The 27,502-nt window shown below is 38.0% G+C and overlaps 1 protein-coding gene across 29 annotated transcripts in view; it reads right to left on the reverse strand.

Moving 5' to 3' along the window:
- ARB2A (ARB2 cotranscriptional regulator A) overlaps nucleotides 1–27,502 on the reverse strand; it is a 493,975-nt gene that overhangs the window by 140,874 nt on the left and 325,599 nt on the right. For 24 of the 29 annotated variants that reach the window (NR_028080.1, NM_001163418.1, XM_005272110.4 and 21 more), the window contains 2 exons: nucleotides 25,785–25,901; nucleotides 17,561–17,645 (listed from right to left, as the gene is read on the reverse strand). Coding sequence is in view for 27 of the 29 variants with exons in the window: in NM_001163418.1 (NP_001156890.1) it covers nucleotides 17,561–17,645; nucleotides 25,785–25,901 (202 nt within the window). In the remaining 2 variants the exon portion in view is untranslated. Of the gene's footprint in view, nucleotides 1–10,460; nucleotides 11,174–13,944; nucleotides 14,248–17,560; nucleotides 17,646–23,258; nucleotides 23,346–25,784; nucleotides 25,902–27,502 lie in introns of those variants that run through there. The other 5 variants (XM_047417816.1, XM_011543670.4, XM_047417813.1 and 2 more) reach the window with 4 other exon arrangements.

Here is a 27,502-nt window from a genome sequence, read left to right on the forward strand (position 1 = left end):
AACCATGCAAATACATGGAAATTAAATAACCTGTTCCCGAATGAACATTGGGTCAAAAACAAAATCAAGATGGAAATTAAAAAATTCTTTGAACTGAACGACAATAATGACACAACTTAACCAAAATCTCTGGAATACAGCAAAGGCAGTGCTAGGAGGAAAGTTTATAGCCCTAAACACCTACCTCAAAAACACTGAAAGAGTAAAAACTGACATTCTAAGGTCATACCTCAAGGAACTAGAGAAATAAGAACAAATCAAACCCAACCCCAGCAGAAAAAAGGAAATAACCAAGATTAGAGCAGAACTAAATGAAACCAAAACAAAGGAAAACAATACAAAAAATAAATGAAACAAAAAGCTGATCATTTGAAAAGATAAATAAAATTGACAGACCATTGGCAAGATTAACCAAGAAAAGAAGAGAAAAAATCCAAATAACCTCACTAAGAAACAAAACAGGAGACATTACAACTGACACCACTGAAATACAAAAGATCATTCAAGGCTACTATGAACACCTTTATGCACATAAACTAGGAAACCTAGAAGAGACAGAAAAATTCCTGGAAAAATACAACCCTCCTAGCTTAAATCAGGAAGAATTAGATACCCTGAACAGACCAATAACAAGCAGCAGGATTGAAATGGTAATAAAAAATTACCAGTAAAGAAAGTCCAGGACCAGACAGACTTACAGCAGAATTCTAACAGACATTCAAAGAAGAATTTGTACCAATCCTTTTGACACTATTCCATAAGATAGAGAAAGAAGGAACCCTCCCTAATTCATTCTATGAAGCCAGCATCACCCCAATACCAAAACCAGGAAAAGGACATAACCAAAAAAGAAAACTACAGACCAATATTCTTGACGAACACAGATGCTAAAATCTTTAACAAAATACTAGCTAACCAATCCAATAACATATCAAAAAGAGAATCCACCATGATCACGTGGGTTTCATGCCAGGAATGCAGGGATGGTTTAACATATGCAAGTCAATAAATGTGATACACCACATAAACAGAATTAAAAACAAAAATCACATGATCATCTCAATAGATGCAGAAATAGCATTTGACAAAATCCAGCAAAACTTTATGATTAAAACTCTCAGCAAAATTGGCATACAAGGGACATACCTTAATGTAATAAAAGCCATATATGACACACCCACAGCCAACATAATACTGAATGGAGAAAAGTGGAAAGCATTCCCATAGAGAACTGGAACAAGACAAGGATGTCCACTCTCATGACTCCTCTTCAACATACACTGGAAGTTCCAGCCAGAGCAATCAGATAAGAGAAAGAAATAAAGGACATCCAAATCGGTAAAGAGGAAGTCAAACTGTCACTGTTTGCTAACAATACGAGTGTTTACCTTGAAAACCCTGAAAAGTTCTCCAGAAAGCTCCTAGAACTGATGAAAGAATTCAGCAAAGTTTCTGGATAAAAGATTAATGTACACAAATCGGTAGCTCTTCTATACACCAACAGCGACCAAGCGGAGAATCAAATCAAGAACTCAACCCCTTTTAAAATAGCTGCAAAAAACAAAACAAAACCACTTAGGAATATACCTAACCAAGGAGTCAGAAGACCTCTACAAGAAAAACTTCAAAACACCGCTGAAAGAAATCATACGTGACAGAAACCAATGAAAACACATCCCATGCTCATGGATGGACAGAATCAATATTGTGAAAGTTGACCACATGGCCAAAAGCAATCTACAAATTCAAAGCAATCTCCATCAAAATACCACCATCATTCTTCACAGAATTAGAAAAAACAATTCTAAAATTCATATGGAACCAAAAAAGAACCTGCATAGCCAAAGCAAGACTAAGCAAAAAGAACAAATGTGGAGGAATCACCCTACCTGATTTCAAACTATAGTATAAGGTTACAGTCACCAAAACAGTGTGGTACTAGTATAAAAATAGGCACATAGATCAATGGAACAGAATAGAGAACACAGAAATAAATTCAAATACTTACAGCCAACTGATCTTTGACAAAGCAAACAAAAACATAAAATGAGGAAAGGACATCCTTTTCAACAAATGGTGCTGGGATAATTGGCTAGCCACATGTAGGAGAATGAAACTGGATCCTCATCTGTCACCTTATACAAAAATCAACTTAAGATGGATTAAGGACTTAAACTTAAGACCTGATACTATAAAAATTCTAGAAGATAACATTGGAAAACCCCTTCTAGACACTGACTTAGACAAGGATTTCATGACCAAGAACCCAAAAGCGAATGCAATAAAAACAAAGATAGATACTGGGACTTAATTAAACTAAAGAGCTTTTGTACGGCAAAAGGAACAGTCAGCAGAGTAAACAGACAACCCACAGAGTGGGATAAAATCTTCACAATCTATACATCTGACAAAGGACTAATATCTAGAATCTACAATAAACACAAACAAATCAGTAAGGAAAAAACAATCCCGGGGGGTGGAGCCAAGATGGCCAAATAGGAACAGCTCCAGTCTGCAGCTCCCAGCATGAGCGACGCAGAAGACGGGTGATTTCTGCATTTCCAACTGAGATACTGGGTTCAGCTCACTGGGGAGTGTCAGAAAGTGGGTGCAGGACAGTGGGTGCAGCACACCGAGCGTGAGCCAAAGCAGGGTGAGGTATCCCCTCACCCGGGAAGCACAAGGGGTCAGGGAATTCCCTTTCCTAGTCAAAGAAAGGGGTGACAGACGGCACCTGGAAAATCGGGTCACTCTCACCCTAATACTGTGCTTTTCCAATGGTCTCAGCAAATAGCACACCAGGAGATTATATCCCGCACGTGGCTCAGAGGGTCCTACGCCCATGGAGCCTCGCTCATTGCTAGCACAGCAGTCTGAGATCAAACTGCAAGGCAGAAGCGAGGCTGGGGGAAGGGCGCCCACCATTGCCCAGGCTTGAGTAGGTAAACAAAGCAGCTGGGAAGCTCGAACTGGGTGGAGCCCACCTCAGCTCAAGGAGGCCTGCCTGCCTCTGTAGACTCCACCTCTGGGGGCAGGGCATTGCAAAACAAAAGGCAGCAGAATCCTCTGCAGACTTATATGTCCCTGTCTGACAGTTTCGAAGAGAGTAGTGGTTCTCCCAGCATGCAGCTGGAGATCTGAGAACAGACAGACTGCCTCCTCAAGTGGGTCCCTGAGCCCCGAGTAGCCTAACTGGGAGGCACCCCCGAGTAGGGGCAGACTGACACCTCACACGGCCAGGTACTCCTCTGAGACAAAACTTCCAGAGGAACGATCAGGCAGCAACATTTGCTGTTCACCAATATCTGCTGTTCTGCAGCCTCTGCTGCTGATACCCAGGCAGGGTCTGGAGTAGACCTCCAGCAAATTCCAACAGACCTGCAGATGAGGGTCCTTACTGTTAGAAGGAAAACTAACAAACAGAAAGGACATCCACACCAAAACCCCATCTGTACATCACCATCATCAAAGACCAAAGGTAGATAAAACCACAAAGATGGGGAAGAAACAGAGCAGAAAAACTGGAAACTCTAAAAATCAGAGTGCCTCTCCTCCTCAAAGGAATGCAGCTCCTCACCAGCAATGGAACAAAGCTAGATGGAGAATGACTTTGATGAGTTGAGAGAAGAAGGCTTCAGACGATCAAACTACTCTGAGCTAAAGGAGGAAGTTCGAATCCAAGGCAAAGAAGTTAAAAACCTTGAAAAAAAATTAGACGAATGGCTGACTAGAATAACCAATGCAGAGAAGTCCTTAAAGGACCTGATGGAGCTGAAAACCAAGGCATGAGAACTACGTGACGAATGCACAAGCCTCAGTAGTCAATTCGATCAACTGGAAGAAAGGGTATCAGTGATGGAAGATCAAATGAATGAAATGAAGCAAGAAGAGAAGTTTAGAGACAAAAGAGTAAAAAGAAATGAACAAAGCCTCCAAGAAATATGGGACTATGTGAAAAGACCAAATCTATGTCTGATTGGTGTACCTGAAAGTGATATGGAGAATGGAACGAAGTTGGAAAACACTCTGCGGGATATTATCCAAGAGAAATTCCCCAATCTAGCAAGGCAGGCCAACATTCAAATTCAGGAAATACAGAGAACGCCACAAAGATACTCCTGGAGAAGAGCAACTCCAAGACACATAATTGTCAGATTCACCAAAGTTGAAATGAAGGAAAAAATGTTAAGAGCAGCCAGAGAGAAAGGGTGGGTTACCCACAAAGGGAAGCCCATCAGACTAACAGCGGATCTCTTGGCAGAAACTCTACAAGCCAGAAGAGAGTGGGGGCCAATATTCAACATTCTTAAAGAAAAGAATTTTCAACCCAGAATTTCATATCCAGCCAAACTAAGCTTCATAAGTGAAGGAGAAATAAAATCCTTTACAGACAAGCAAATGCTGAGTGATTTTGTCACCAACTGCCCTAAAAGAGCTCCTGAAGGAAGCACTAAACATGGAAAGGAACAACCAGTACCAGCCACTGCAAAAACATGCCAAATTGTAAAGACCATCGAGACTAGGAAGAAACTGCATCAACTAACGAGCAAAATAACCAGCTAACATCATAATGACAGGATCAAATTCACACATAACAATATTAACCTTAAATGCAAATGGGCTAAATGCTCCAATTAAAAGACACAGACTGGCAAATTGGATAAAGAGTCAAGACCCATCAGTGTGCTGTATTCAGGAAACCCATCTCACATGCAGAGACACACATAGGTTCAAAATAAAGGGATGGAGGAAGATCTACCAAGCAAATGGAAAACAAAAAAAGGCAGGGGTTGCAATCCTAGTCTCTGATAAAACAGACTTTAAACCAACTAAGATCAAAAGAGACAAAGAAGGCCATTACATAATTGTAAAGGGATCAATTCAACAAGAAGCGCTAACTACCCTAAATATATATGCACCGAATACAGGAGCACCCAGATTCATAAAGCAAGTCCTTAGAGACCTACAAAGAGACTTAGACTCCCACACAATAATAATGGGAGACTTTAACACCCCACTGTCAACATTAGACAGATCAACGAGACAGAAAGTTAACAAGGATACCCAGGAATTGAACTCAGCTCTGCAACAAGCAGACCTAATAGACATTGACAGAACTCTCCACCCCAAATCAACAGAATATACATTTTTTTTCAGCACCGCAGCACACCTATTCCAAAATTCACCACACAGTTGGAAGTAAAGCTCTCATCAGCAAATGTAAAAGAACAGAAATTATAACAAACTGTCTCTCAGACCACAGTGCAATCAAACTAGAACTCAGGATTAGGAAACTCACTCAAAACTGCTCAACTACATGGAAACTGAACAACCTGCTCCTGAATGACTACTGGGTACATAACAAAATGAAGGCAGAAATAAAGATGTTCTTTGAAACCAAAGAGAACAAAGACACAACATGTCAGAATCTCTCGGACACATTCAAAGCAGTGTGTAGAGGGAAATTTATAGCAATAAATGCCCACAAGAGAAAGCAGGCAAGATCTAAAATTGACACCCTAATATCACAATTAAAAGAACTAGAGAAGCAAGAGCAAACACATCCAAGAACTAACAGAAGGCAAGAAATAACTAAAATCAGAGCAGAACTGAAGTAAATAGAGACACAAAAAACCCTTCAAAAAATTAATGAATCCAGGAGCTGGTTTTTTGAAAAGATCAACAAAATTGATTGACCGCTAGCAAGACTAACAAAGAAGGAAAGAGAGAAGAATCAAATAGACGCAATAAAAAATGATAAAGGGGATATCACCACCAATCCCACAGAAATACAAACTACCATCAGAGAATACTATAAACACCTCTATGCAAATAAACTAGAAAATCTAGAAGAAATGGATAAATTCTTTGACACATACACCCTCCCAAGAATAAACCAGGAAGAAGTTGAATCTCTGAATAGACCAATAATAGGTCCTGAAATTGAGGCAGTAATAGCCTACCAACCAAAAAAAGTCCAGGACCAGACAGATTCACAGCCGAACTCTACAAGAGGTACAAACAGGAGCTGATACCATTCCTTCTGAAACTATTCCTATCAATAGAAAAAGAGGGAATCCTCCCTAACTCATTTTATGAGGCCAGCATCATCCTGATACCAAAGCCTGGCAGAGACACAACAAAAAAAGAGAATTTTAGACCAATACCCTGATGAACATCGATGCAAAAATCCTCAATAAAATACTGGCAAAATGAATCCAGCAGCACATCAAAAAGCTTATCCAGCATGATCAAGTGGGCTTCATTCCTGGGATGCAAGGCTGGTTCAACATACGTAAATCAATAAACATAATCCAGCACATACACAGAACCAACAACAAAAACCATGTGATTATTTCAATAGATGCAGAAAAGACCTTTGACAAAATTCAACAACCCTTCATGCTAAAAACTCTCAATAAATTAGGTATTGATGGGACGTATCTTAAAATAATAAGAGCTATATATGACAAACGCACAGCCAATATCATACTGAATGGGCAAAAACTGGAAGCATTCCCTTGCAAAACTGGCGTAAGACAGGGATGCCCTCTCTCACCACTCCTATTCAACATAGTGTTGGAAGTTCTGGCCAGGGCAATTAGGCAGGAGAAGGAAATAAAGGGTATTCAATTAGGAAAAGAGGAAGTCAAATTGTCCCTGTTTGCAGACGACGTGATTGTATATCTAGAAAACCCCATTGTCTCAGCCCAAAATCTCCTTAAGCTGATAGGCAACTTCAGCAAAGTCTCAGGATAGAAAATCAATGTGCAAAAATCACAAACATTCTTATACACCAATAACAGACAAACAGAGAGCCAAATCATGAGTGAACTCCCATTCACAATTGCTTCAAAGAGAATAAAATACCTAGGAATCCAACTTGCAAGGGACGTGAAGGACCTCTTCAAGGAGAACTACAAACCACTGCTCAATGAAATGAAAGAGGATACAAACAAATGGAAGAACATTCCATGCTCATGGGTAGGAAGAATCAACATCATGAAAATGGCCATACAGCCCAAGGTAATTTATAGATTCAATGCCATCCCCATCAAGCTACCAATGACTAGAATTGGAAAAAACTACTTTAAAGTTCATATGGAACCAAAAAAGAGCCCACATTGCCAAGTCAATCCTACGCCAAAAGAACAAAGCTGGAGACATCACACTACCTGACTTCAAACTATACTACAAGGCTATGGTAACCAAAACAGCATGGTACTGGTACCAAAACAGAGATATAGACCAATGGAACACAACAGAGCCCTATGAAATAATGCTGCATATCTACAACCATCTGATCTTTGACAAACCTGAGAAAAACAAGCAATGGGGAAAGGATTCCCTATTTAATTAATGGTGCTGGGAAAACTGGCTAGCCATATGTAGAAAGCTGAAATTGGATCCATTCCTTACACCTTATACAAAAATTAATTCAAGATGCATTAAAGACTTAAATGTTAGACTCAAAACCATAAAAATCCTAGAAGAAAACCTAGGCAATACCATTCAGGACATAGGCATGGGCAAGGACTTCATGTCTAAAACACCAAAAGCAATGGCAACAAAAGCCAAAATCGACAAATGGGATCTAATTAAACTAAAGAGCTTCTGCACAGCAAAAGAAACTACCATCAGAGTCAACAGGCAACCTACAAAATGGAAGAAAAGTTTTGCAATCCACTCATCTGACAAAGGGTTAATATCCAGAATCTACAATGAACTCCAACAAATTTACAAGAAAAAAACAAACAACCCCATCAATAAGTGGGTGAAGGATATGAACAGGAACTTCTCAAAAGAAGACATTTATGCAGCCAAAAGACACATGAAAAAATGCTCATCATCACTGGCCATCAGAGAAATGCAAATCAAAACCACAATGAGATACCATCTTACACCAGTTAGAATGGCAATCATTAAAAAGTCAGGAAACAACAGGTGCTGGAGAGGATGTGGAGAAATAGGAACACTTTTACACTGTTGGTGGGACTGTAAACTAGTTTAACCATTGTGGAAGTCAGTGTGGCAATTCCTCAGGGATCTAGAACTAGAAATACCATTTGACCCAGCCATCTCATTACTGGGGATATACCCAAAGGATTATAAATCATGCTGCTATAAAGACACATGCACGTGTATGTTTACTGCAGCACTATTCACAATAGCAAAGACTTGGAACCAACCCAAATGTCCAACAATGATAGACTGGATTAAGAAAATGTGGCACATATACACCATGGAATACCATGCAGCCATAAAACAGGATGAGTTCATGTCCTCTGTAGGGACATGGATGACGATGGAAACCATTATTCTCAGCAAACTCTCGCAAGGACAAAAAACCAAACACCGCATGTTCTCACTCATAGGTGGGCATTGAACAATGAGAACACATGGACACAGGAAGGGGAACATCACACACCGGGGCCTGTTGTGGGTTGGGGGGAGGGGGGAGGGATAGCATTTGGAGATATATCTAATGTTAAATGACGAGTTACTGGGTGCAGCACACCAACATGGCACATGTATACACATGTAACTAACCTGCACGTTGTGCACATGTACCTTAAAACTTAAAGTATAATAAAGAAAAAATCCCATCAACAAGGGGGCTAAGGATATGAATAGACAATTCTCAAAAGAAGATATACAAATGGCCAACAAACATATGAGAAAATGCTCAATATCACTAATTATCAGGGAAATGCAAATCAAAACCACAATGTGGTATCACCTTACTCCTGCAAGAACGGCCATGATACAAAAATTAAAAAACAGTAGGTGTTGGTGTGGATGTGGTGATGAGGGAGCACTTCTACACTGCTGGTGGGAATGTACAGCCACTATGGAAAACAATGTGGAGATTCCTTAAAGAACTAAAAGTAGAACTACCATTTGATCCAGGAATCCCACTCCTGGGTATCTACCCAGAGGAAAAGAAGTCATTATATGAAAAAGATACTTGCACACACGTTTAAGTAGCACAACTGACAATTGCAAAATCGTGGAACCAACCCAAATGCCCATAAATTAACGAGTTAAGAAACTGTGGTGTGTATATATATACATACAATGGAATACTACTCAGCCATAAAAAGGAATGAATTAGGCCGGGCACGTTGGCTCACGTCTGTAATCCCAGGACTTTGGGAGGCCGAGATGGGTGGATCACGAGGTCAGGAGATGGAGACCATCCTGGCTAACACGGCAAAACCCCGTCTCTACTAAAAATACAAAAAATTAGCTGAGCGTGGTGGCGGGCACCTGTAGTCCCAGCTACTCGGGAGGCTGAGGCAGGAGAATGGCCTGAACTCGGGAGGCGGAGCTTGCAGTGAGCCAAGATCACGCCATTGCACTCCAGCCTGGGCAACAGAGCTAGACTCCATCTCAAAAAAAAAAAAAAAAAAAAAAAAAAAAAAGGAATGAATTAACAGCATTTGCACCAACCTGGATGAGATTGGAGACTATTATTCCAAGTGAAGTAACTCAGGAATGGAAAACCAAGTATCATATGTTCTCACTGATATGTGGGAGCTAAGGTATGAGGACGTAATAGCATAAGAATGATATAATGGACTTTGGGGACTTGGGGGGGAAGAGTGGGAGTGGTGCAAGGGATAAAATACTACAAATATGGTGCAGTGTATACTGCTCAGGTGATGGGTGCACCAAAACCTCACTAATCACCACTAAAGAACTTACTCATGTAACCAAATACTACCTGTACCCCAATAACCTATGGGAAAAAAAAACAGAATTGGTCTTTAGAAGCCAACAACAACAAAAAGAAAACACTCTAAATAAAAGGAAGTGGGAAACCAGTCACCTGACATAGATGCAAGACCCCTCAAATATCCACTATATATATATATATATGTATATAAAAGTATACGCTATATATAGTGTATATACATACATATATATACACTATATATAGCGTATACATTTATACACTATATATACATATATACTATGTGTGTGTGTGTGTATATATATGTATTTAGTGGATGGTGGAGATATATCTGGAATGCAGTGGTAAGATCACAGCTCACTGCAGCCTTAAACTCCTGGGTTTAGGCAATCCTCCCACCTCAGCCACCCAAGTAGCGAGGACTACAGGCTCACGCCACCATGCCTGGCTAATTAAAAACATTTATTTAGTGGAGATGAGGTCTTGCTATGTCATCCAGGCTGGTCTCAAACTCCTGGCCTCAAATGATCCTTGAGCTTTGGCCTCCCAAAATGCTGAGAGTACAGGTATGAGCCACTATGCTTGGCCCTCCCTACATGTTAATAATGAACAACAAGGCCATCTTGGGCACCAGTGTGAGACCATGTCTCTGCTAAAATAAAACTAAAAAAAAAGGAAAAACAAAAACAATATAACTATGCTAAATATACAGTGATATTTTAAGTTAAAATTTTAAATTTTATATCTGCTTTTAAATTATATATAAACGGGTAAGTAACATTCATAAAATGAAATTATTATGAACAACACATACTTTTTTTGTAATGGGAAGCAAATCTAGTTATAAAGGAAAAACTACAGTATTAAATAAGCGTGTATGTTTATAGGCAATTTCACTGCTATCACTGTGAAACTTTTAGTCAAAAGATCAAAGCACATTATAACAAGAAAAACAACTTTACAATTTAGCAAGCTGGAAAAAACACTTCATTAAATTGAATATACAGCCTGAAGATCCATTACTAATTTGTGGTCAGTACACATGTTGAAATCTTCAAATAATATTAACATTTTAAATTACATATAACAGAAATTATTGATCAGAGAAATTCCGGCGTTTCAAAGGTACTTCATCAACCTTTGGTTGTTTCTATTTGAATTTCCTGCCATCACCTCAATCAATGAATGTTGAACAATTAATCTTTTTCAACATTTTTTATGGACTCTGAGGGAAAGCATTAAGTCAGGCTGAAGAAGTGGTAAGTTTTTATAAGTAGGTATAGGAAATGCTGGGGGTGCTGGTCCTAACTCTCTTCTTATTTGATGCAACCTAATGTTGATGCCAGCTTCTAAAGGAAGAACCTTTTCACTAGCACAGGCCCAGAAAGCAATTCATTCTTTTTTAAAATTATGGAGAACAAGATGGTCATGATGAGCTCTTGTTCACTGCTATGTCTCCAGCTTCCAGAACAGTGCCTGGAACACAGTAAATGTCAATAAATACTTTAGTGATAAATGGATATGTGCTGGGGAATGTATGTACAATTTCCTTCTGATTTAGGCCAAATTTGTTAGAACAAAATCCCACAGGGAATGAAAAGTTACACTCAGTAGCAAGTTCTGTCTTAAGGAAAGAAATGGTCAGAGGAGAGCTGAATAATAAAAGTAACTTAGTATAAGATCAAGTATGATAAAGTAATTTAATATCTTCTTTCTGATAAATTATACAGCAAAGTCTAATCAGTTAGTAGGGGAGCAAGGGTAGGAACAAATTGTCTTCAATGAGCATTTTAGTGCATCTTTAGAAATAGATGCTCTTAAACCCGAAGGTATCAGGGCTAAGATGAGCCTTACAAGGCTTTAGTCTCAATAAAAGGTTAAGGTTGTTTTTACTCAGGCTGTGCAACCACCTGCTGTGCAACCACCTGAGTTGAAGTTTAAGCCTGGACAAAATTCAACAACCCTTCATGCTAAAAACTCTCAATAAATTAGGTATTGATGGGACGTATCTCAAAATAATAAGAGCTATCTATGACAAACCCACAGCCAATATCATACTGAATGGGAAAAAACTGGAAGCATTCCCTTTGAAAACTGGCACAAGACAGGGATGCCCCCTCTCACCACTCCTATTCAACATAGTGTTGGAAGTTCTGGCCAGGGCAATTAGGCAGGAGAAGGAAATAAAGGGTATTCAATTAGGAAAAGAGGAAGTCAAACTGTCCCTGTTTGCAGATGACATGATTGTATATCTAGAAAACCCCATTGTCTCAGCCCAAAATCTCCTTAAGCTGATAAGCAACTTCAGCAAAGTCTCAGGATACAAAATCAATGTACAAAAATCTCAAGCATTCTTATACACCAATAACAGACACAGAGCCAAATCATGAGTGAACTCCCATTCACAATTGCTTCAAAGAGAATAAAATACCTAGGAATCCAACTTACAAGGGACGTGAAGGACCTCTTCAAGGAGAACTACAAAACACTGCTCAATGAAATAAAAGAGGATACAAACAAATGGAAGAACATTCCATGCTCATGGGTAGGAAGAATCAATATCATGAAAGTGGCCATACTGCCCAAGGTAATTTATAGATTCAATGCCATCCCCATCAAGCTACCAATGACTTTCTTCACAGAATTGGAAAAAACTACTTTAAAGTTCATATGGAACCAAAAAAGAGCCCACATCGCCAAGTTAATCCTAAGCCAAAAAAAACAAAGCTGGAGGCATCACACTACCTGACTTCAAACTATACTACAAGGCTACACTAACCAAAACAGCATGGTACTGGTATCAAAACAGAGAAACAGATCAATGAAACAGAACAGAGCCCTCAGAAATAACGCCGCATATCTACAACTATCTGATCTTTGACAAACCTGAGAAAAACAAGCAATGGGGAAAGGATTCCCTATTTAATAAATGGTGCTGGGAAAACTGGCTAGCCATATGTAGAAAGCTGAAACTGGATCCCTTCCTTACACCTTATACAAAAATTAAGTCAAGATGGATTAAAGACTTAAACGTTAGACCTAAAACCATAAAAACCCTAGAAGAAAACCTAGGCAATACCATTCAGGACATAGGCATGGGCAAGGACTTCATGTCTAAAACACCAAAAGCAATGGCAACAAAAGCCAAAATTGACAAATGGGATCTAATTAAACTAAAGAGCTTCTGCACAGCAAAAGAAACTACCATCAGAGTGAACAGGCAACCTACAAAATGGGAGAAAATTTTCGCAACCTACTCATCTGACAAAGGGCTAATATCCAGAATCTATAATGAACTCAAACAAACTTACAAGAGAAAAACAGACACACCCATCAAAAAGTGGGCAAAGGATATGAACAGACACTTCTCAAAAGAAGACATTTATGCAGCCAAAAAACACATGAAAAAATGCTCACCATCACTGGCCATCAGAGAAATGCAAATGAAAACCACAATGGGATACCATCTCATACCAGTTAGAATGGCAATCATTAAAAAGTCAGGAAACAACAGGTGCTGGAGAGGATGTGGAGAAATAGGAACACTTTTACACTGTTGTTGGGACTGTAAACTAGTTCAACCTTTGTGGAAGTCAGTGTGGTGATTCCTCAGGGATCTAGAGCTAGAAATACCATTTGACCCAGCCATCCCATTACTGGGTATATACCAAAAGGACTATAAATCATGCTGCTATAAAGACACATGCACACGTATGTTTACTGTGGCACTATTCACAATAGCAAAGACTTGGAACCAACCCAAATGTCCAACAATGATAGACTGGATTAAGAAAATGTGGCACAAATACACCATGGAATACTATGCAGCCGTAAAAAATGATGAGTTCATGTCCTTTGTAGGGACATGGATGAAATTGGAAATCATCATTCTCAGTAAACTATCGCAAGAACAAAAAACCAAACACTGCATGTTCTCACTCATAGGTGGGAATTGAACAATGAGAACACATGGACACAGGAAGGGGAACAACACACTCTGGGGACTGTTGTGGGGTGGGTGGAGCGGGGAGGGATAGCTTTAGGAGATATACCTAATGCTAAATGACGAGTTAATGGGTGCAGCACACCAGCATGGCACATGTATACATATGTAACTAATCTGCACATTGTGCACATGTACCCTAAAACTTAAAGTATAATAATAATAAAATAAAAAAATTTAAAAAAAAAGAAGTTTAAGCCTGTTGCATTAATTATCTACTGCTGTGGAACAAATAACCCCAAAATTTGGCAGCTTAAAACAATATACATTTATCATCTCACAGTTTTTGTGGGTCAGAAATCTGAACACAGCTGAGTGATATTAGCTCAGGGTTTCTCACAAGACTACAATCAAGGTGTTGGCTGGGGTTGCAGTCATCTCAAAGAGCTCAACTGGGGGAGAATCTTCTTCCAAGGTCACTCACATGGCTGTTGGTGGACCTCAGGTCCTCCCTGGCTTTTGGCCTGATATACCAGTTCCTTGCCATGTGGGCCTCTCCACAGGGCAGCTTACAACCTGGCAGCTGGTTTCCATCACAGTGAGCAAGCTAGAGGACAAGAGAGAGCCTGAGGTCTGCCATCATTCACTGCTCTTACCACGTTCCCCATTATCCTTAAGCAGCAGGCTTGACAGAATGCTGGAATGACCTTTTGAAGACTCAGCTGTGACTGCTAGGTGACAACACCTTGTGTGGCTGGACAATATCCTGCAAATATGGACTTTTCTCTAAATCAGCATTTAATATATGTTGCTATTTACCCCAATTCTGGGAATAAAGGCATAGATATGGGACTGCCTTCTTTTCCCTCTAACTTTAGTGATCCACTAGTAGAGGTCTTGCTTCCCATGCCCATTACTTCAGACTCTGCTGGTCTAAAGGTCTTAGTTCCAAAAAGGAGATATGTTTCCATTAGGTGACATAATAATAATTCCTTTGAACTGGAAGTTGAGACTGCAATGTTGCCACTTTGGTCTCCTTATGCCACTGAATCAACAGGACATGGATGTACTGGATGGGAGCACTATACTGGATGGGTGATAAATCCTGATTTCCAAAGGAAAACGTAGTTGCTACTACACAATGGGTAATAAGTAGTATCTCTGCAATGCAGGAAATGCTCCAGAGTACCTGTAAGTAGTTTCTGTAACTAAAGGCAATAGCATACTATGATCACCTAATTCAGGCAGGACGCTAATGGCCCAAACTCTTCGAGAATGAAAGTGTGGATCATTTCACCAGGCAAAGAGTCTTGACCAACTATAGTGCTTGCTGAGAACAAAGCACACCTCATTTTATTGTGCTTCAGTTTACTGCACTTCACAGATACTGATTTTTTTTTAACCAATTCAAGTTTTCTGGCAACACTGCATCAAGCAAGTCTATAGGAGCCATTTTTCCAACAGCATGTGCTCACTTTGTGTCTCCCTGTGCTAATAAACTTTTCCATGATTACCATATGTTATGGTAATCTGTGATTAGAGATGGGGTCTTGTTCTGTCTTCTAAGTTGGGGTACAGTAGTACAATCATAGCTCACTGGCTCACTGTAGCTTTGAACTCTTAGGCCCACGTGATCCTCTTGCCTCAGCCTCCTGAATAGCTGGGACTGTAGGTGTGCACCACCATACTTGGCTAATATTAAAAAATTTTTTTTGGAGAGACAGACAAGGTCTTGCTTTGTAGCCTGGGCTGGTATCAAACTCCTGGCTCTGAACAATCCTCTTACCTTGGCCTCCCAAAGTACTGGAATTACAGGTATGAGCCACCATACTCGGCCTTGATCAGTCATCTTGAATGTTACTACTGTAATTGTTTTGAGGTGCCACAAACTGTACCCATAGAAGACGGTGAACTTAATTGATAAAGGTGTTCTGACTGCACCACCAACTGAGCAGTTCTCCTGTCCCTATCCCTCTCCTGGGGCCTCCCTGTTCCTTGAAACACAGTAATATTGAAATGAGGCCAATGACTAACTCTCCAACGGCCTTCAAGAATTCAGATGAAAGGAAGAGTTGCATATCTCTCACTTTAAATCAAAAGCTAAAAATGATTCCGCTTAGGATGACATGCGTGTCAAAAGCCAAGATGGGCTGAAATTTAGGCTTCTTGCACTAAACAGTTAGCCAAGTAGTGAATGCAAAGGAAAAATTCTTGAGGAAATTAAAAGTGCTACTCATGGGCAGAATGGTGAAAAATTTGAGTCATCCATTCTTAATTAAGGTTGAACAAGGTCATGTTCTGCCTTCTTGTTTCAGTTCTTACATTGTAAACAAGTATCCTTTTTATAGACTATTTAGTGCCACATTTTTCTAGTTTTGTGCCTTTTTTTTGGTTTCACTGTTTACAATAGCCCCCAAATGTAGTGCTGAAGTGCTGTGAAGTGTTGCTAAGCACAAGAAGGCTGTGATATGCCTTATGGAGAAAATATGTGTTAGCTTCATTCAGGCCTGAGTTACAGTGCTGCTGGCCATGAGCTCAATGTTAATGAATCAACAATATATATTAAATAAGGTGTCATTAAACAGAAACACACATAAACCAAGTTTACATATTGATTGGCTGACAAAAATGTGACCAGAAGCTCACAGGAACCTGGCCTTGTATTTCATCTAGGAGCAATGATTATTTGCTAATTCAGTGTTTTCAGTGACTTCACATTATATAACTAGCATAAATAATGAAAATCAATTGTATAATATTTAGGAACACACACATATATACATATGTGCATGAGTATATGTGTGTATATGTCTGTCTCTGTGTGTGTGTATAGTAGCATATACATCTTCTAGTGGTTCTGTCTCTGTGGTTGAACCCTGGCTTATAGACTTATAAAATTCAGCTGTAATGATAGTGAAGCTCAGTTGAAGTTTAGGTATTAATGACAGTGACGTTTAATTATAACAATAGTTCTATACCTAGAATCTGAACTATTCTCCAAATTATTTTCTTCAAATATGTACACATATTTTCAACTTTAAGTACTCAGTGATTAGCTATCACTTGTGATTGTTAACATAAAGTAGTTTGTGTTCCAAACTTTTACCCATTCTCCAGCACCCATGGCCACAGCAAACCCATTTCTGCTATCAGTTATAACGAGATGCCACTGCTCACTTGGCTGAGAACTGTGAAAGTCAAAACCAGAAAGCTAACAAATGTCACTCTCTCTTCTTACCTAGTGACTCAAATACAAAGCCTTTAGGCTGGAAATCAGTGCTATCCTTAAACTTCCTAGAGCCCAACTGCTCCTAACCTGCTCATCTCTTCACCTCTTCCCTTTCAATAGGCAGTCCAGTCTTGCCTTTGTTCCCTGTGAACATCTTCAGATCCATTCCTGCTGTTGCTCCTTAAATTGCTCTGTCTCCTTTGCACAGGATGCCATCTTGCATGTTTTCCCACAGTCCAGAGTCTATCTAACACAAGAACCAACTAAAATCTTTGCATGAAGTATTTTTTTCTAAGGTCTCTAGGACACACAACATCCTTGACTGCCTGTCATATCATTGAGTTGGAACTCAGAGACACATATCCTATGAAAGATCTTGTATGTCTGCCCAATCCTTGTTGTTTAGGTATTCATATATGTATGTCTTATCTCTCTAAGCTTCAACAGCAGTTGTCTATACTACTCTTGAATTGTTTCACCTATTCATCTTACTGAGTTTGTTGGTAAGCATTTTAAGCTACTTAACAAATATGTGATAGTGGATTCTACCCATGCATAACATTACCAATAATTCATCTAACAACTCAAAGATAAAAACAAACTAATTCACAAAACAGAATTCTACATTTCATTAGCATATTTTTCACCCTGAAAAACAACAGCAATCATATATCTCTCATCAAACACATACCTGCTGAGACCCGGGGGCAATCAGGTAGCATGGACTCCACTGATGTGTCTAATGGTTCTGAGCTAGAGACCCAATTACAACAGTTCTGCAATGTAATAGAGACAATATTGTTGAAATACAATTTAAGCCAAGATGGAATTTTTAGGGAGAGTTTAATTTATCCTATAAAATCAACCACTAGAGTGTATTCAATTTATTTTCCATACACTTAACATTTTTTTCTTATGTAAACAGTCGGTAATTATTCATAATTAACATGACTCTGAAAAAGGTCCTTTTGTTTGTTCGTTTTACTATTCAACAAATCATCTGTGCTGATATTAAGATGACATGTAAGGGCAGGGCGCGGTAGCTCGCACCTGAAATCCCAGCACTTTGGGAGGCCGAGGTGGGCAGATCACTTGAGGTCAGGAGTTCGAGACCAGCGTGGCCAACATGGTGAAACTCCTTCTCTACTAAAAATACAAAAATTAGCCTGGCGTGGTGGTGCATGCCTGTAGTCCCAGTTACTTGGGAGGCTGAGGCAGAAGAATGGCTTGAACCCAGGAGGCAGAGGTTGCAGTGAGCTGAGAGCGTGCCATTGCACTCCAGCCTGGGTGACAGAGGGAGACCCCGTCTCAAAAAATAAATAAATAAAATAGATGACATGTAACCTTCCATGAACCATGATGCAATATATTTCCAAGTGAAGTTTAGATGGCCAAGCAGTAAACAAATAAAGGTACTATAATTAAGGGAAAATAAAAAAGTATCCATTTTTGACTTTCAGATTAAAATAAATATTAATGTGAATATTCAAGAAAGAATAGCCAATTTTTAAACTATATTCTTTGTGTAATACCACAAGAAATGAATTTTGTATTTACTCCTCAAAATCTGACCCATATAAAAATACTATTTTTAAATTTTTACTTTGACCTGCTTTAATGAAGGCTGTATCAAAATAGTTGTAAAGAACATGGACACAGGAAGGGGAACATCACACTCTGGGGACTGTTGTGGGGTGGGGGGAGGGGGCAGGGATAGCATTGGGAGATATACCTAATGCTAGATGATGAGTTAGTGGGTGCGGCACACCAGCATGTCACATGTATACATATGTAACTAACCTGCACATTGTGCACATGTACCCTAAAACTTAAAGTATAATAATAATAAAAAAAAATCACCATCTGGTGAGTTGTAGCTGTGTGTATATGGACACAAAGCCTCCAATATTAAAAAATAGGTAATTTTTAATAGTAACGATGTAAGGTAACGATTTACAATTCAGATAAATAAAATAATCTATATTCCTTTTATACATTTTAAGTCTGTATTTGAAGTCTGGCTAAAAATATGTGATTATCATCATATGGTTTCTAAAAAATGTCTCAACACACACACACATACACACTCTCACACACACAATGAATTTCCAGACAGATTTTTTTTTTTTAAAGAAATCATCCCATCAATCATTTTGCCAAAATCGCTGATTGCTATTCTGGTAAACAAGCATGTATTGTGTATTTTTAGATGCTTGCTTCCCTGGTTGTGCACCATGGAATCCGTCCTCACTGTGGAAAGATCCTTGACTGGTAGATCAAGTGTCTTATTGTATTTCCTTAATTCATTCTGTCTGGAAGAAGATGTCAGCTGTGTTGCAGTGAGGAGAGAATTTCAAAGGCCCCAGTCCTCACCAATAAAGGCCGAGGAATGGCTTTTGAATAGATTTGTCAAGGCAACCCTACTGTTCTGGGACCAGGGAGAGCAGGAATAACATAAAGGAAGGGTTGCTGTATGAGATTAGAAAGTGAAGTTCACAAAGCATGGCAGATTTTTGTAAGAAACAGTAGATCAATGAAACTATTGAACTGTGTAGGAAAAAAAACATGAAAACAAACATAACATCTAGTAATGTTCTTAAATACTTTCTCTCTTTTTACATTTAAAATGGATAAAATATTAGTATTTTTCATGCATTACAAAAGCTTGATGGTTTAAAATGGATACATATTCTATAATGTGCTCTCCTAATCTTAATTAGCAGTTGAATGCAAAATTACACAATGTAAGAGTAGAAACTATAAAAGAAATAGGGTTTTAGAAGATATTTCATACATTTGAAATAAGTAAAATTAATATTACCATTGATAGAATACCACATCAGAGAGTTCTAGATAATGCAGAAGATTAGCACACAATTAGCCAGCTTTTATATACAATGTGACACTTGCTTGTAAGAAATAAGTATTCTCCAAAGCAGTGTCAAGATATGTAAATGGATGATTTGTTTTATCATTCATCACAGCCCCTAATAAATTCAAAAATCATGACTTCTATAGGTACTAAAAATAGGCTCCCAATGATACAGGGAGATAGCTTCAATGAAGAATGACTTTCTCTTTCTCTCTCTTTTTTTTAAACAATTCAGTCTTTTCAATGACAGCAATTAGCACTACCGACAGACAGGCAGCGATTAGGTACTGTATGTATTTTAATTATTATTCATCCAACTAGTACCTCCAAATCTGATGAAAGTCAGCTATTAACCAGGTGATATGTCGGTCTTCCTACTGCTCACCTACACTTCACATATGTAAAACTATGTCTTATAGGATTTTCTAGTATTAATATAAGTGATGGCACATTACAGTATGCAGAGGATTAATCATTTTCTAAATTGTTACTTTAAAAAGCTGAACAAAATGAACTTTTGTCCAGTTTGCTCAGCTCACCTTTAACTCAAACACTTAAAGCAAAATATAAGTTAACATTTTATGTTTGTAAAATTTCAGTTTTTATCTAGCCACATGTTTAAGGCTTTGATCTCTCATAAAAACTGGACAGAAGTTTAACATCCTATAATTAAAGTGAGTATGTCCAAAAGTTCTCTGCAATGACCAAGTACCTGTGCAGAACTATACAGATTTGATATGGTCATTTCAGAGTGTGTGTGTGTGTGTGTGTGTGTGTGTGTGTGTGCGCGCGCGCGCGCACGTGCAGGGGCATGTGGCATTTTTACCCCAAAAAGTATATAGAAAAAAGGGCAAAACAAGTTAAATGTTTGCTATATGATAGAGCATAATGAAATAAAATAAACATATGCAAAGAAAGACATACAGCTATTATATCTAAATTCAATCTGTCTGAAATGTTATTTTATCAAATCTAACTCCCTATTCTGAAATGTGTTACTATAGTTTAGAAGTCAAGTGTCTTTTGGTGCTTTTCTAATACTTACGTGTCCCTTTTTTCAAGGCCCCCGTTTGTCCCCATCCCAATTTTTAGTTGAGATGAACACTACCAAAGTGTTCCGAGTAGTGATGCAGGCAGCCCACTAGGAAAGCCCTATCTAAATTCAAAACATGCTGGACAGGGTTAGCAGCCCCTGAGATTTATTCTCAGGTCCCCTGAATAGGCAACAAGGTATGTTGAACTCAAGGTACCAATAGTGCCATGCTTGAGTCTCAGATGCAGCCTCCCCTAGTCCCAACAAACAAGCATAGAGAAAGAAGTCCTTGGCCAGGGCGGGCAGATAGGGACAGATCGCATGACTAATGTTTCTCTGGGTCTGAAGGAAAAAGAGAAAAATAGGTAATGTAGAAAGTATTTCTTAAAGCTAAGTGTTTTCAGTTTAAACATTTTTTTACCCTAAAATGATGATCCTATAGATTTTTGTGGTTGTAAATTTTCCTTTTTGTAACATCCAAAATTTGGGGAGCTATTGATATGGATTAGAAATGCCTACAGGCCCCAGTGCTGAGTGATTCCCTTTGACATTTGAACCAAGGGTCAACAATATTTCAGAGTAGGTTTGAAATAACTTTTTTTAAATAAAAACATTACAATTTAGTATATTATATTTAAAGAGAAAAGCAGGTAGTAGCTATTCCTGTGCAAGGTGTCTGGAGGTATTTGGAGATGCTTACTACCTTGGTTGAGGCTTGATTTTTATTCATTTTTATTGCATTTGTCTGAGTTGTAAATCGCCATTGCTTTAAAGGCTGATTTTTAATGTGAAAGGTTTTGTGTCCTCGGACAAATACAACTATGGTTCACTAGGTCAAGTTTCTAAAGCCCTACACTCAGAGTTGAATGGTGATAGGAAGGGTTCACAACTATTATGTAGAGCCGCACATCTGGTGTGGCTGGAGAATTTCAGAGGCCAGGGGTATGTTGGGAAACATTTGCCCACTCAGCCTAGACAGTCCTGGGGTTTGAAGTAAGAAGTAATTCAGGAGCTGCCTTCATTTACCTTTTACCTCTCTCTCCTCAAGAGGCTGGCTTAGCATCTATGCGTGGTCTTTTAGTTCAGGATAGGTTTCACTTGGAGTAATTGCTCAAAGTATACTACTCTTTGACCTTTCTTTCTCTTTCTCTCTTTCTCCCATCTCCTCCCCTCCCCTCCCCTCCCTCTCTTTCTCTCTTTCTTTCTTTTGGAGCTTCTGCTCTGTTGGCCAGGCAGGAGTGTAATGGCATGATCTCAGCTCACTGCAACCTCCACCTCCTGGGTTCAAGTGATTCTCCTGCCTCAGCCTCTTGAGTAGCTGGGATTACGGGCGCCTGCCACCACGCCTGGCTAATTTTTGTATCTTCAGTAGAGACGAGGTTTCACCATGTTGTCCAGGCTGGATTGAACCCTTGACCTCAGATGATCCACCTGCCTTGGCCTCCCAACATGTTGGGATTACCGGTGTGAGCCACCACGCCTGGCCTGACCTTCTTTCTTTAAAGGAAACTGTTACTAATATTTAGAAATTACACAAGTAATACAATAATATATTACTTAACCTTTGTTCTGTGTGCTAAATTGGTAGGTTTAAAAATTAGCTTTTTATAAAATGGATACATAACATCAGTAACTTTATCACATCCTTTCTTTTTTTTATAGATTTAGGGGTTTCAAGTGCATTTTTATTACATGGATATACTGCATAGTAGTAAAGTCTGGGCTTTTAGTGTAACTGTCACCCAAATAGTGTACATCGTACTCAATAGGTAAGTTCTCATCCTTCATCTTCCACCTTCCACCTTTTGGAGTCTCCAATGTCTATTATTCTACTTTGTATGTCCATATGTACCCATAGTTTAGCTCCCACTTAGAAGTGAGAACATGTGGTATTTGACTTTCTGTTTCTGAGTGATTTCAGTTAAGATAATGGCCTCCAGTTCCATCCATGTTGCTGTAAGATATAATTTCATTCATTTTAATGGCTGAGTAGTATTCCACAGTATATATATCTATATACATATATTTAGATATGTACCACATTTTCTTTATCCAGTCATCCTTTGATGGATGCTTAGGTTGATTCCAAGACTTTGCTATCATGAATAGCACTGCGATAAACATACCAGTATAGATGTCTTTTTGGTAAAATGACTTATTTTGCTTCGGGTAGATACCCAGTAGTGACACTGCTGGATCAAATAGTACTTCTATCTTTAGCTCTTTGAGAAATCTCCATACTGTTTTCCACAGAGGCTGTACTAATTTACATTCCCACCAACAGTGTATATGAATCCCCTTTTCCTTGCCAACATCTGTTTTTTTTTTTTTTAAATAGTAGCCATTCTGATTGGTGTGAGATGGTATCTCATTTTGGTTTTAATTTGCATTTCTCTGATGATTAGTGATGTCGAGCATTTTTTCATATGTTTATTGGCCACTTACATGTATCACATTAATTTAAACATACTTAAACATACTTACAAAACAAAAAACTTTCCAACACCCATGCTTAAGACAACAGCCCTTTCCTGTAATCCAGGTTTGTTTCTCTTCGTTATTTCAAGGAGTCTTGCAGAGGGGATAGGAAATAAGAAAGGAGAAAGAAAAGGGGAGGAAGTTTCATCCTGAGAGTTTGGAAACACTGGACTCTTATCTTGCCAACCCACACTGTAATCTTCTCTACAAGAGGTCACACATTTAGGTAGGTTCCTACAAGGATACCTGTCATACTCTTTTACAGTCTCTCTTTTTGTTCTCGTTTTGGAGAAGATCACTGAATAGGGGTAATTTCAAAGCTCCATCAGGCATGATCTAATAATTTAAATCTCTGAGATATTATAGTGTTTTCAATGATAACACATCTCATTTCTTTATATAGTACCATTTGCTTTTCAAAGAGCTTTCATCCTTGATTATCACCTTTGGTTCTCACAATATTTCATGAAGTAGATGAAATAGGAATTATTGTCTCCAATTCAATTATGAAACAGACCCAAAAAGATGAAGTGGCTTTTCCAGGATTATAAATCTTAGCAAATTAGCTGGTACATGCTAGATTCTTAATTATTGATTTACCTAGCCAGAGTCATTATCAAAATTTAGTTCTCCCATATGCTTGTTCTGAATTACTTCCAGTATGTCACCCCGTTTCCCTTTGTAAGATATTTTGAATAGGCAAACCATTCATAAAAACAAAAGATGAATACAGTTTATGTGTTTTATATTATTTGGGAGTGAGACTGTAACAACAACAGCTATAACTTACCGAACTTTTTTAAAGTGCCAAGAACTGTGCTATTTCTTTACATACGTTATTTTCCAACATGTTTGCAAGGTAGGTATTATAGTTTACAGATGAGAAAATTGAATCTCAAAGAGATAAAATAACTTGCTTAAAACTACAAAGTTATATAAGTGATTGAGCTGGGATTTCAATTTTGATAGGTCAAAATACAAAACTCTTCAAATTGCTTCCCTAAGGCTTAATTGAGGGAACTGAGAGAACTATCCAAGAACTAGGGCATTTATAAAATTTTATAAATTTTACAAAAGCTATGCTTGCAAAGAAATTAATGGCAGGCTTGATTAAATTATGATGAATTCAACTGCTGTCTAGTCAATTAGATGGAAGCTACACAGATTAATATATTCTGATTTTTGAAAGGAACACCTAATCCAGCCTTAGTTAGAAATACTTAAAAAGTAAACCTAAATAAATTTTATTATATTTGTCATCTGGAATGAAAAACTCATGAGTAAGGAAGTTTTTAGTTTGAGCCAAGTATCAAATTCCATACTAGTTATGTGAGCGGGGAAAAGTTACTAACAGCTCATTTATTAACCTTACTATTTATATAATGCTAGGAGCTTTCTATATGGTCATCAAACACCTACATGTTAGAAAAGATTTTAAAAACCCATCTTTACATGTTTATAGTATTAAGAGGACTGGAATAAAAATATTTTAGACTTTTGTATGATGAAAGTACTTTTTCTAATGCAGAAAAACAAGTGATAACAGACTGGTGATAATATAATGCTACTATGAAATTATATAGCCTAATTTTTCTATCTCTTCAAACATTAACTCTGTGGTCCTTACAGTGTACCATGAAGGCTGGTAGAATTTACCCACCACACAGTCCTATGGTGTCAGCTGAAGAGCCACTAGGTATTCTATTAAGAAAAACTGGAAGAAAACCAGGAAGGTCAATCAGCTCATTCATACTATATAAGTAAATGATTTGATTAAACAATTACTATGGCACGGGGTGGCTGATGCCAACTGCTTAGAATATCAGAAAGATAAATAAAAATAAAAGAAAATTTCAGCTGGATATCTGTCATAGGAACAAAAAATATAACAGGCTGAAAGTTAAAAAATAGTAATAATGGGAGCATATTCAATGAATCCTTGTTAGTTTTCAGGTTCACCAGCCCTTAGGAAGTGTGAAAAGAAGCTTTCTTAGCCTGAGGCTGAACCATGGCTAGCCCCTGGGTTTCTCTTAGCTCAAGGGTCTGGCATAACAGTATTTCAGCTTTTTTCTTCTCTTCCCTCTACTGGATGTAGTCAGCCAATCCATTTAAGAGTGGCACATACTGACTGCCTTTTCAAGAAGAAAAGGAGACTAAGTGTACCTTATGCGTCTTTCTTGTAACTAAATAGCACCAATGCTAAATAACTGGTGGAAAAATTAAGCAACAGGGAATAAGAATCTCCTAACTCCATGACCTTTTTCAGCCAAAGTTCCTACCATAGATTGAACACTATACACATATAGTGTTCTATAGAAAACCAAAAAGAAGGGAGGGGAGCTTTCAAAAATATTAGGTCTTCACATGGGTTTTCTATTATTATTTTAAACATGTCTAGCTTTTTCTATTTCCTCTCAATGTTCTGCCTCTAGAAAGGGAGTTTGAGGATGGGAGGTGTTACAGGTTGGTGGGGGCTCAAGATATAAAGGCTCACACCCATTCATCTCAGCACTAAAAAAAACCAAGTCTCACCTCTCTCATCCATTCTCGAATCGTTTTGCCAGCTTCTTGATGCCACACATTGTGAACAGAGTCTGTCAATGCCACAGCAGTTACCTTATTTTTTACATCGGCTTCTCGTTGAATCATCTGTTTTAAAAAAGGAAAATAAAATATTGGCTATAATTGTTTTTCCTACTGGGTGCAGCCTGCTTAGTCAGAGATAACAATAATATTATATTAACAATGAAAAAGCAATATGCATCTCTGGTTCAAAGTTACTCTTTTTTTGCATTGAACACACACCCTATTCTTGTCCAGAGATGTGAAAAGACCTAATATTTCATTTAAAAAAATACCACTTAAGTCTTAGAACTACGCAGCTCTATTATTTTCCATGTGGTTTGACGATTCGAGGATTAAAGGGATCACAGGGGAATCCCTGAGGGTTTCTTTTACAAGTTTCTTCCACCACTTCCTATTTCAGTGCTTCAGGGAAGTTAGTACCCGGGGTTCACTGTTAGCTACTTAGGACTAACTTCTACTAATTTTCAGTAGATGGCACATCAGTAAAGAAAGATATCTTGCTTTGACTTTTCCAATTTAACTAGCCTGCTCTTCACCATGGCCTTGTAATTCCTTGGTGTTTTAAATGCCCACAAAGATATTTTTCATTCAAAGCCTATTAATTTTGCTTTCCAGCATATTTCTTTATGTTGGCAAACATTATATTTTATAATAACTTCTTCCTATAGAATGCTATTTCTACAAAACAAAATAGCTTCTAAAATAACAAAAAAAGATTTGCTTGGCTTGGAGATACCGATGAATTCATCAGTGGTCTGCCAGATAAAGAAATTAAAAGCTAAAATTTCTACATCAAAAGAAATGAAAAAAGGTTTTAATCTACTACACTAGTGGCCCTAATTTGGTGTAATAAATGTAAGAAAGCTATAAAAATTGCAGTTAAAATATCATAAATACTAACCTTGCATTTCATAATAATGTTCTTTTTTTTGCTTCAAATGTCTTTTCTCCCTCTAAATTCTTTTATTGAAAAAAAGAACAATTTCTTTATCATTTGCTGTTAATTTCTATGAATTGTCTATCAAAAATATAATAGTGCACTTCAAAAAAGAGAATTCTGAATGGCGATGAAAGCTCATACAGAGAAAGAACACTGCACACCATGCTTATGATACCAAAGGATGCCTGTTGGCGTTCTGAATTTAAAATGTCTCTCTCTTAATTTTTTTTAAGCCCAGCATATGTACATGCTGTCTCAATGAATACTACCTAATGGGAACCCAACTCACTGTTAATGCTGCCTCAGCAACATTTCTGCACCTCAAGTCTTTGTGCCCTGTGTTTTCTGCTTATATAATATAAAAATCTTAAAATCAATATTGGTTACCAACATCATAATATTGCTGCAAAAATTTATCCTGCAATACCAATAATACTTTTAAAAGCATAAAATAATACTCTAATTTAATACTTCACATGAATTATTAACTAGTATGCTACCTTCTTCTAGATTTTATTTTACAAATAGATTATCATTGGATCACATTGGCACTAGCATATAAAAGTTTAAACCAACATTAGATGATAAAACCCCAAATTCCACAATATTGAATCCAACTGGCTTATGAAGAAATTATACGTCCTTATTCTCATTTTCTAAATGGTAACACTTTTAGAGATCTAGACCAATTGTTGCTGAAGTACAAAATAAGAACATGCCTTTC

This window comes from Homo sapiens, chromosome 5 (genome assembly GCF_000001405.40).
Source record: "Homo sapiens chromosome 5, GRCh38.p14 Primary Assembly".
Taxonomy (NCBI): domain Eukaryota; kingdom Metazoa; phylum Chordata; class Mammalia; order Primates; family Hominidae; genus Homo; species Homo sapiens.